The sequence below is a fragment of the Homo sapiens genome, chromosome 2, assembly GCF_000001405.40.
Source record: "Homo sapiens chromosome 2, GRCh38.p14 Primary Assembly".
NCBI lineage: Eukaryota > Metazoa > Chordata > Mammalia > Primates > Hominidae > Homo > Homo sapiens.
In genome coordinates, this window is record NC_000002.12 from 49,290,931 (window position 1) to 49,303,016 (window position 12,086).

Genomic DNA, 12,086 nt, shown 5'->3' on the forward strand with positions numbered 1-12,086 from the left:
ATACAATACCTTTGTAATTTTGACAACTATTTCTAGATTATGCTTCATGGACATTGTATCATGCTGTCCTCTCACTAGCAAAGCAAGGCAATGGTTCCTGTCCTTCAGCCTCACCAGCAGAGGGTAATGTTAAACTTCTGGATAACTTATTATCATCTATCGGATAGGCATCAAGGTAGTTTTCATCAGTGTAGTTTTAATTTATCATCAGTATAGTTTTAATTAATATTTTCCTTCTTATGAGTAAGTGTTTTGTCATATGTTTAAGGGCTATTAATATCTCTTTTTCTGTGAATACTCTGTTTATATTTTTTGTCATTTTTTTACTGTTTAGCTATTGTTTTGTTTCAATTCGTAATTATATTAGAGGATTAATTCTTTGTGGCAGATTTTGTAAACATCTTTTCCACTTTATCATTTGTCCTTTAAAATACCAATTCACTAAATTTTTGTTTAGACTAATTTATTAATAATTTGTGTGGGTTCTGGAATTTGAATTGGAAAGATTTCTCTACTCCCAGTTTATAAAGGAATTCATCCATGATCTTTTTTTTTTTTTTCATCAAAGCAGTTCATTGGAAATTTTGAAAGGATAAAGTTGGATCCAACTTTATCTTTTTCCAGATGGTACATAGTTTATTTCAACACCATTTATGCTTGAAATGTTACCTTTATCATATACTGAATTCTCATATATGTTTGGATCTATTTCTGGGAATTCTATTTTGTTATATTGGCCTGACTTTCTATTCATGTGCCAATAGAAACCTGCCTTACTTTTTGAAGTTCTGAATGTGTTTGAATGTGTAAGCCATCTAGTCAATTTTACCACTCACTCTCTCTAACGCACCCACTCCAATTAAGCCTCCATCTACATCACTTTACCCAAACTGCAGCCATCAAGATTTCCAATGAACCCCATGTGGCTAAGACAAATGGTTGGTTCTCAGCCCTCAACTAACTAGATTCGTTCGTCAGTGACATTTGACATAGTTGAAGAATTCCTCCTGAAAATACTTTCTTCAGTTACAGTCTTCTCTCTTGGTTATCTTACTACTTCACTGGTTGTTTCTTCTTAATCTCCTTGCACATTCTTTTCATTTCTCTGACCTGCAAGCCCCATGGCTTAGTCTTCTGACATCTCTATTCTCTCCATACTCACTTTCTGAATGATCCCATTTAGGGATAGTACATTAAATACCATCTGTATCCTAAAGACTACCATATTTTATATCTTTAACCAGGTCGTCTCCCATGAACTCAAGGCTCATACATTTAATTGTTTATTCAATGTTTCTACTTGTACTTAAAAATTACTCTCTTGAAGACTCCATTCACAATTTCCCTCTACCAAATATGTTCCTTTTTTAAAAAAACAAAACAAAACAAAACAAAAATCTTAACTCTTTTTTCCCTCTCACACCTCACATCTATTACATAAGCTAATCCTGTCAGTTCTAACTTCAAAATATTTCTGGAACCCAACCTCTTCTCAACATCTTCACTGCTAAGTTCTGGTCAAAGTCCAGTCCTCTTTTGAGAGGACTGCTGTAATATCCTCCTGCCTGGTCTCTGCCTCACCATATAGTCTATTCTTCCCACTGCAGTCAGATTCTTTAGAAGACATAAGTCAGATCATGTTGCTTTTCTGCTTAAAATTCTCCACAGGAATATCCATCTCGCTTAGAGCAAAGGAAAGGCCAAAGTCTTTGTCATGACCCAAAGACCCTAAAATAATGTGAGTTTCACGATGACCTGATCTCCTTCCACACTTTCATATTCATTTCCAGCTGCAATGCCTCCTTGTTGTTTCTCATACCTGCTAGCTACTCTTTAATATTTTATTTCATTAAATCATCACAATTCTACCATGTGGGGATCATCCTCGCTTTGCAGCTGATAAAGGGACACACAGAGAGTATACTATTCTTCCCAAGTCTGTACCATTAGTAGTAGAAGAACAAGGCCTCTGATATGGTTTGGTTCTGTGTCCCCACCCAAATCTCACCTTGAATTGTAATTCCCCAAGTCCCCACGTGTCAAGGGTGGGACAAGGTGGAGGTAATTGGATCATGGGGGTGGTTTCCCCCATGCTGTTCTTGTAATAGTGAGTTCTCATGAGATCTGATGGTTTTATAAGTGTCTGGCATGTTCCCTGCTTGCACTCACTCCGTTCTGCTGCCCTGTGAAGAAGGTGCCTGCTTCTCCTTGGCCTTCTGCCCTGATTGTAAGTTGCCTGAGGGATTCTGCAGCAATGCAGAACTGTGAGTCCATTAAACCTCTTTTCTTTATAAATTACCCAGTCTCAAGTATTTCTTCATAACAGTGTGAGAATGGACTAATACAGCCTCTAACGTAGATCTCTTTAGAAGTTAATTCTAAATACTTTACTTCCTTTTGAGACAAGTTCTCTCTCTTGACCAGGCTGGAGTGCAGTGGTATGATCTCAGCTCACTGGGGTCAAGCAGTTCTCCCACCTCAATCTCCTGAGTAGCTGGGACTACAGGTATGTGCCACCACACCCAACTAATATTTGTGTATACACACATTTATTTATTTATTTATTGGTAGAGACAAGGCCTCACTATATTGCCCAGGCTCTTCTTGAACTCCTGGCTCAAGCGATGCACCCATGTCAGCCACCCAAACATCTAGGTTTATAGGTGTGAGCCACCACACCCAGACAATTCTTCCTATTATAGGAAATTTCTGGTTTGTAGTTATATCTATGTTGCTGTGTTACCTGGAGCACCACCCTGAGTAACATAACTTGGCCACCTGGAGCACCTCTCTGAGTAACATAACTTGGCCTTAGTTTATTCACCTACAAAATGAGGACTTTGGTCTAAGTGTTCTCAAATTTCCTACTCACTCAGAGGCTTAATAATTTCATGACTCTGGAATAGTCCCTGATACTTCTCAAAGAGAAGTTATTAGTGATTTTGCTGAGATGAGGAGAATGAAACAAAATATGAGAAGACATCAGTACAGAGAAAAACTTACTATAGCAGAAGTGAAGAGGTACTAAATGCATGTTTTTTATTACTCAGGAATTTTTTTTCTAGGTCTGTCCCTCTCAATTGTGGGGCATTTCAATTCAGTGTCCATATGTCAGTAAAATAACTTGCCTTTACCTGTTACTCTTTTCATCACCTCCATTTTCAGATCAGACAGTCAGCATGTGGAGAAAGGAGAAAACTTATTTTTATCCAGGCTCATGAAGCTTAAAAGAACTGTTTCCATTTCTTAAGTTTAGAAGGTTTATATAGCAACTCATCTCCCTAATTCTGCTTATAGTCAGGATAAAAGTTAAGTCACTCCAAAAGATAATGGTATACCTATAATCTACTATCTCAGTATCAATTCCATCAGAGGGCCAAGGGGACAACACATTGGTTCCTGACTCTAAATCTATCCATGCTATCATACCAACATTCCTGCATCCTACTCACCTGAGGCAACTCTTCCATAGCTTCTCTAGGGTTTGTCAGGTGGCTATGACATCATCCACTTGGGTTTAGTGCTGCTCTTGCCATTTCCTTGTGATGTAATTTGCTCTGTCTATAGTTGATGCTCCTCTCTCCTAAGGCCTGACTCTATAGGCTTGGGGGCAAGGCCTTCTCCAACTTTCTCCAATCTTTTACCTCTAGTCTCCTACAGTGCTATTCACACTATCATTCTTTATCTTACATTCATGACGAATTGTTTTTTCCTTCTAGGAACCTGAATGGTTTCATTAGAGACTAGGATAGAAGCTAATTTGATAGAGTATAACGTATTACTGCTCCATGCTTCTGTGGAAGAAATAAAACTACTCAACTTGGGGAGTACACAAGAATTGCTGAATTTTTTTGTTGTTGTTTCTTTTAAATCAGATTAAATCTAACTCAGAGCCTCAGTCCACATACATAACAAAAAATGTAAGCTCACTTTTCACTGAGGAGCCCTCCATGAGCTGAAATAAGCAAAGTTTCTCATTTAGAGATTTTACATGATCAAAAGAGTACCTAGGTCCAACTTTCTGAGATCTCATGGCTGAAATAGCTGGTCAGGGAGCTGCATTTATATGCACTGTGATGTGACTGGAAGCCCTGGGGATGAGCAAATATTTTTTAAAAAGTATACGTAAAATAATAAAAGAAATAATGAGTAGATGATTCCAGATGCTCTTTCTGTATAACTGTGATCCCCACTTTCCTTTAGAATCAGTCCAAATTCCCCACATCTCTGTTTTCTGTGGTCTGCACAGTGGTCAATGACACTGTAACATAAGACCAGAGAGCTCTGTGCTTTACCTGTCATAGCCCACTACCCTGGTGGGTAGGTAGAGGCCATTGTTTCTCCCACTTTACAGAGATACAGACATTTTAAGTAATTGGTGCAAGGTTACACAGAGATTAAATAGCACAGCGAGGATTTGAGCCCAGATGCTGTGGCGCCAGAGTTCACCCTCTCAACACATGCCACTGTTAATCTCACATCAGCCCAAGAAGTTGGCAGTCTTCTGACTCCCACTTTACAACAGCAGAACTGAGGCAGGTGTGGGCTCTCTCTTGCTCATAATTACGCACCTATGAAAGGGAGAATGGAGTCCAGACCCAAGCCTAGATCTTCCAATCCCATAGCCCTCATTTTTGGTTTCTCTTTAATCCTTGCTGCTATAGACCGGTTGTTTCTTTGAATAAACAAAATTCATATGTTAATACTAATCCTCAATGGGATGATATTTGGAGGCAGGGCCTTTGGGAGTTGATTAGGTTATGAGGGTAGAGGCCTCATAAAAGGGATTAGTGTTCTCATAAAAGAGACCCGAGATAGCCTGCTTGCTTTCCTTGCCATGTGAGAACACAGTAAAAAAGACTGCTATCTATGAACCAGGACACTGTGACAGTGCCTTGATATTGGACTTCTCCGCTTCCAGAACTGTGAGAAATCATTGTCTGTTGTTTATAAGTCACTCAGTCTGTATAGTTTGTTATAGAAGCCCAAAAAGACCGAGACACCTGCTTTTCTCTTCGTTCCTCTTGTTTTAGAAAAAAGCAGATTCCCTTGAGAGGGGTAATGGGGCACTCTGTTTGCTGTGTATCCCTGAGCTCACTCTTACATGCAGAGATGAGTCCAGGTGGGAGCAGCAGGGGTAGGAAACCTGTGCAGCGGAGGAGCCCAAGGGGATCCAGTGACTAAGGTCACCTGTGCCTCGTGCATGCTTCACTACGACCCTATTTCTTAGCATTTATAATCAGACACAGGCCAACAAGATGTAGACAAATACCTAGAGAGATAGAGACATCCCTTGCAGAGCACACCAAGAGAGAATACTCTGTCTCGAGCCAGCCTAAAAATATACTCTGTTTACAGCACATACACCCTCCCTCGTGCTGCAGTATCTCAGAAACAGAGGCAGAATTTAATCATCCCATCCTCTGATGTGAAGGTGTCTATGGTTTAATATGCACACATCACAGATTTCAAATTTTGCTGTGGAAATTCAGTCTTCAACAAAAACCTAGCTGTCTCTTTGACTTGAAATGTGTTCTAAAATGTATAATAAAGGTCTACTGAAACCAATAAAGCATCTCCAGAAAATGCTGGTTTAACTCACACAGCCAATTCTCTTTTTCATAAATTCAATTTGTATTATTTGGTTGAAGAGACTGTTCTCTGAGCCCTGACACAAGTGAGTGCTGAGGCTGCTGACACTCAGTCCAGAGTCTGCATGGACAAAAAAATCTCTGGGAAAAAAAAAATCACGTATAATAATTGATCTCATTTGTTTGGTTTGTCAGGCCCTGCCTGGCTCTACCTCCCTGCACGCCTTTTCTCTCCACTGCTGAAAGCTGCTTGACCAACAGGGTTGGTCCTTCTATAATCCCTGGATCCAAGAAACTCCAGTCCACCTCTGGTTGGGATGGAATTGTGTGTGTGTGTGTGTGTGTGTGTGTGTGTGTGGTGGAGGGGGCTTGGCCCTGGAAGGCACTGCTTCTGGAGTGTGCCCTAGTTCTCATAAATAAACCCATGTTGTTTCTGAGACCTAGTCCTCACATTGTATATTGATTCTAGCACAGAACTCCCAGCTCCTTATGCTCAAGTCCCTGTTTGCCTTCCTGTTTAGTTCCCTAATTCTGTACAGAATGGAGAAACCCACCTGCTTATGCTAATCTTAACCTTGACACTATTCGTATTTTGGGCCTGATAACTCTACTGTGGGAGCTGTCCTGTGCATTGCAGGCTGTTTGGCAACATCCTTGCCCCTACCCACTAATACCAGTAGTATCGTTACCCCAGTCATGACCGTCAAAAATGTCTTCAGACATTGGCGAATGTGCCCCAGAGGGGGCAAAGCATATTGGTGCTGGTTAAGAATTCGTGTTTTAATTCAATCCAGGGATAAGCACACTGTCTTTGTACGCCAGTGTGGTTGCCAGCAATTGCCAAGAGGCTTCTATGACCTCAGGGCTGACGAATACAATACAATATAAGCCCTGAACGTGAATCACCAATGTCATTTTAAATTTTCTAGTTACTAGGCGTCGTGGCTCACATTTATAATTTCAGCAATTTAGGAGGCCAAGGCAGGAGGATCCCTTGAGCCCAGGAGTTTGAGACCAGTCTGGATAACACAGTGAGACCTCGTCTCTAGAGAAAAAAAAAAGAAATTAGCCATATGTGGTGGCTCATGCCTGTAGTCCCAGCTACTCTGGAGGCTGAGGCAGAAGGACTGCTTGAGCTGGGGATGATGAAGCTGCAGTGAACTGTGATCACACCACTGCATTTGAGCTTGGGTGACAGAGTGAGACCATGTCTCAAAAACAAATAAATAAATATAAATAAGTAAGCAAAATTTCTAGTAGATACATTAGCAAAGCAAAAAGGAATAGGTAAAATTTATTTTCATGCTATATTTTATTTTATCCAACACATTCAAATTATTATTCTTATTTCTATTGGTAAGTCTTCAACATCAGGTGTGTATATTATGTTTATAGCACATCTCAATTTGGATTAGACATATTTCAAGTGCTGAGTAGCCATATATGGCCAGTGGCTACTGTATGGGCAGCACTAATGTAGATTTCTAAAACACCCACTCCTCTTCAATTCATTCTGAGTATCAGAATCTTAAAGTGATAAGCCCCAGTAAGCATGGGGCTTTTGTGTCAGGAGTACCTGGTTTAAATATTTCTATATCTGACACTGTGAGCTTGAAATAATTAATTGATGTCTTTGAAGCCCAGCTTCAATATTTGTGCTAGGGAAATAATAACAGTTATTCTCTAAAGAGCTGTTATAAGAGTGACATGAAATAATGTACACAGTGCCTGGTATAGAGCGGACACTTAAGAAGTGGGATAGCTGTTTTCTGAACCTTTGCTATCATCAGAGAAGTTGAGTATTTAGTTCCCCTAGTCTAGCCTCTTGCTTGAAGCAACACTCATGCTCCATCTTTTGGACACCATGCTCTATGCTTAACTGGACACTCGGTGTGCTTGCAAAAGATTGCATCATCCCAAAGAATTCAAGATTATTCTCTCGAGGGAGGGCATTCCAAGATGGCCGAATAGGAACAGCTCTGGTCTGCAGCTCCCAGAGTGATCGACGCAGAAGATGGGTGATTTCTTCATTTCCAACTGCGGTACCTGGTTCATCTCACTGGGACTGGTTGGACAGTGGGTGCAGTCCATGGAGGGCAAGCTGAAGCAGGGTGGGGCATCACCTCACCCAGGAAGCACAAGGGGTCAAGGGATTTCCCTTTCCTAGCCAAGGGAAGCCGTGACAGACTACCTGGAAAAACAGGACACTCCCCACCCAAAGACTGCACTTTTCCCAAGGTCGTAGCAACCGGCATACAAAGTGATTCTCTCCCATGCCTGCCTTGGTGGGTCCCATACCCACAGAGCCTTGCTCACTGCTAGCCCAGCAGTCTGAGATGTATCTGCAAGGCAGGCAGCAGCCTGGCTGGGGAGGGGCATCTGCCATTGCTGAGGCTTGAGTAGGTAAACAAAGCAGCCAGGGAGGCTCGAACTTGGCAGAGCTCACCACAGCTCAACAAGGCCTACTGTCTCTAGACTCCACCTCTGTGGGCAGGGCATAGCTGAACAAAAGGCAGCAGACAACTTCTGCAGACTTAAACGTCCCTGTCCCACAGCTCTGAAGAGAGCAGGGGTTCTCCCAGCACAGCATTTGAATTCTGAGAACAGACAGACTGCCTCCTCAAGTGGGTCCCTGACCCCCATGTAGCCTAACTGGGAGACACCTCCCAGTAGGGGCTGACAGACACCTCATATAGGTGGCTGCCCCTCTGGGACAAAGCTTCCAGAGGAAGGATCAGGCAGCAATATTTGCTGTTCTGCAATATTTACTGTTCTATAGACTCTGCTGGTGATACCCAGGAAAATGCGGTCTGCAGTGGAACTCCAGCAAACTTCAACAGACCTGCAGCTGAGGGACCTGACTGTTAGAAAGAAAACTAACAAACGGAAAGCAACAGCATCAACTTCAACAAAAAGGTCATCTACACCAAAACCCCATCTGTAGGTCACCAACATCAAAGACCAAAGGTAGATAAAACCACAAAGATGGGGAGAAACCAGAGCAGAAAAGCAGAAAATTCTAAAAACCAAAGAGCCTCTTCTCCTCCAAAGGATTGCAGCTCTTTACCAGCAATGGAATAAAGCTGGACGGAGAATGACTTTCACAAGTTGATAGAAGTAGGCTTCAGAAGGTCGGTAATAACAAACTTCTCTGAGCTAAAGGAGGATGTTCGAACCTATCACAAGGAAGCTAAAAACCTTGAAAACAGATTAGATGAATGGCTAACTAGAATAAACAGTGTAGAGAAGACCTTAAATGACCTGAAGGAGCTGAAAACCATGGCACGAGATCTTCATGATGCATGCACAAGCTTCAATAGACGATTTGATCAAGTGGAAGAAAGGGTAACAGTGACTGAAGATCAAATTAATGAAATAAAGTGAGAAGACAAGGTTAGAGAAAAAAGGGTAAAAAGAAACAAACAAAGCCTCCAAGAAATATGGGACTATACGAAAAGACCACATCTACATTTGATTGGTGTACCTGAAAGTGATGGAGAGAATGGAACCAAGTTGGAAAACACTCCTCAAGATATTATCCAGGAGAACTTCCCCAATCTAGCAAGGCAGGCCAACATTCAAATTCAGGAAATACAGAGAACACTACAAAGATACTCCTCGAGAAGAGCAACCCCAAGACACATAATTATCAGATTCACCAAGGTTGAAATGAAGGAAAAAGTGTTAAAGGCAGCCAGAGAGAAAGGTCGAGTTACCTACAAAGGGAAGCCCATCAGACTAACAGCGGATATCTCGGCAGAAATCCTACAAGCCAGAAGAGAGTGGGGGCCCATATTCAACATTCTCAAAGAAAAGAATTTTCAACCCAGAATTTCATATCCAGCCAAACTAAGCTTCATAAGTGAAAGAGAAATAAAATCCTTTACAGACAAGCAAATGCTGAGAGATTTTGTCACCACCAGGCCTGCCTTACAAGAGCTCCTGAAGGAAGCACTAAATATGGAAAGGAACAACCGGTGCCAGCCACTGCAAAAACTTGCCAAATTGTAAAGACCATTGATGCTAGGAAGAAACTGCATCAATTAACAGGCAAAATAACCAGCGAACATCATAACGACAGGATCAAATTCACATATAGCAATATTAAACTTAAATGTAAATGGGCTAAATGCCCCAATTAAAAGACACAGACTGGCAAATTGGATAAAGAGTCAAGACCCATCAGTGTGCTGTATTCAGGAGCCTCATCTCATGTGCAAAGATGAACATGGGCTCAAACTAAAGGGATGGAGGAATATTTACCAAGCATACGGAAAGCAAAAACAAGCAGGCATTGCAATCCTAGCCTCTGATAAAACAGACTTTAAACCAACAAAGATCAAAAGTGACAAAGAAGGCCATTACATAATGGTAAAGGGATCAATTCAACAAGAAGAGCTAACTATCCTAAATGTATATGCACCCAATATCGGAGCACCTAGATTCAAAAAGCAAGTCCTTAGAGACCTACAAGGAGACATAGACTCCCACACAATAATAATGGGAGACTTTAACACCCCAATGTCAATATTAGACAGATCAATGAGACAGAATTAACAAAGATATCCAGGAATTGAACTCAGCTCTGCAACAAGCAGACCTAACAGACATCTATAGAACTCTCCACCCCAAGTCAACAGAATATACATTTTCCTCAGCACCACCTTGCATTTATTCTGAAATTGACCACATAATTGGAAGTAAAGCACTCCTCAGCAAATGTAAAAGAAAAGAAATCACAACAAACTATCTCTCAGGCCACAGTGCAATCAAATTACAACTCAGGATTAAGAAACTCACTCAAAACTGCACAACGACATGGAAACTGAACAACTTGCTCCTGAATGACTACTGGGTAAATAATGAAATTAAGGCAGAAATAAAGGCATTCTTTGAAACCAATGAGAACAAAGACACAACATACCAGAATCTCTGGGACACATAAAGCAGTGTGTAAAGGGAAATTTAGAGCACTAAATGCCCACAGGAGAAAGCAGATAAGATCTAAAATTGACAGCCTAATATCACAATTAAAAGAACTAGAGAAGCAAGAGCAAACACATTCAAAAGCTAGCAGAAGGCAAGAAATAACTAAGATCGGAGCAGAACAGAAGGAAATAGAGACACAAAGAACCCTTCAAAAAATCAATTAATCCAGGAGCTGATTTTTTGAAAAGGTCAACAAAATTGATAGACCACTAGCAAGACTAATAAAGAAGAAAAGAGAGAAGAATCAAATAGATGCAATAAAAAATGATAAAGGGGATATCACCACCAATCCCACAGAAATACCAAGTACCATCAGAGAATACTATAAACATCTCTACGCAAATAAACTAGAAAATCTAGAAGAAATAGATAAATTCCTAGACACATACACCCTCCCAAGACTAAACCAGGAAGAAGTTGAATCTCTGAATTGACCAGTAACAGGCTCTGAAATAGAGGCAATAATTAATAGCCTACCAACTAAAAAAAGTCCAGGATGAGATGGATTCACAGCCGAATTCTACCAGAGGTACAAAGAGGAGCTGGTACTATACTATTCCTTCTGAAACTATTCCAATCAATAGAAAAAGAGGGACTCCTCCCTAACTTACTTTACGAGGCCAACATCATCCTGATACCAAAGCCTGGCAGAGACACAACAGAAAAAGAGAATTTTAGACCAATATCCCTGATGAAAATCAATGCAAAAATCCTCAATAAAATACTGGCAAACCGAATCCAGCAGCACATCAAAAAGCTTATCCACCATAATCAAGTGGGCTTCATCCCTGGGATGCAAGGGTGGTTCAATGTACGCAAATCACTAAATATAATCCATCACATAAACAGAAACAATGACAAAAACCACATCATTATCTCAATAGATGCAGAAAAGGCCTTCGACAAAATTCAACAGCCCTTCATGCTAAAAACTCTCAATGAACTAGGTATTGATGGAACGTATCTCAATATAATAAGAACTATTTATGACAGACCCGCAGCCAATATCATACTGAATGTGCAAAAACTGGAAGCATTCCCTTTGAAAACAGGCACAAGACAAGGATGCCCTCTCTTACCACTCCTATTCAACATAATGTTGGAAGTGCTGGCCAGGGCAATCAGGCAAGAGAAAGAAATGAAGGGTATTCAATTAGGAAAAGAGGAAATTAAATTTTCCCTGTTTGCAGATGACATCATTGTCTATTTAGAAAACCCCATTTTCTCAGCCCCAAATTTCCTTAAGCTGATAAGCAACTTAAGCAAATTCTCAGGATACAAAATCAATGTGCAAAAATCACAAGCATTCCTATACATCATAAACAGACAAACAGAGAGCCAAATCATGAGTGAACTCCGATTCACAATTGCTACCAAGAGAATAAAATACCTAGGAATCCACCTTACGAGGGATGTGAAGGATCTCTTCAATGAGAACTACAAACCACTGCTCAATGAAATAAAAGAGGACACAAACAAATGGAAGAACATTCCATGCTCATGGAC

At 40.7% G+C, this 12,086-nt stretch overlaps 3 annotated features.

Moving 5' to 3' along the window:
- Positions 578-1,187: an enhancer, noted in NCBI's record as "OCT4-NANOG hESC enhancer chr2:49518647-49519256 (GRCh37/hg19 assembly coordinates)". NCBI's record gives its function as "activates a minimal SCP1, AML or CMV promoter by ChIP-STARR-seq in naive H9 embryonic stem cells {active_cell/tissue: H9 hESC(naive)}" and the evidence as "EXISTENCE:reporter gene assay evidence [ECO:0000049][PMID:30033119]".
- Positions 7,462-7,963: an enhancer, noted in NCBI's record as "H3K27ac hESC enhancer chr2:49525531-49526032 (GRCh37/hg19 assembly coordinates)". NCBI's record gives its function as "activates a minimal SCP1, AML or CMV promoter by ChIP-STARR-seq in naive H9 embryonic stem cells {active_cell/tissue: H9 hESC(naive)}" and the evidence as "EXISTENCE:reporter gene assay evidence [ECO:0000049][PMID:30033119]".
- Positions 7,964-8,463: an enhancer, noted in NCBI's record as "H3K27ac hESC enhancer chr2:49526033-49526532 (GRCh37/hg19 assembly coordinates)". NCBI's record gives its function as "activates a minimal SCP1, AML or CMV promoter by ChIP-STARR-seq in naive H9 embryonic stem cells {active_cell/tissue: H9 hESC(naive)}" and the evidence as "EXISTENCE:reporter gene assay evidence [ECO:0000049][PMID:30033119]".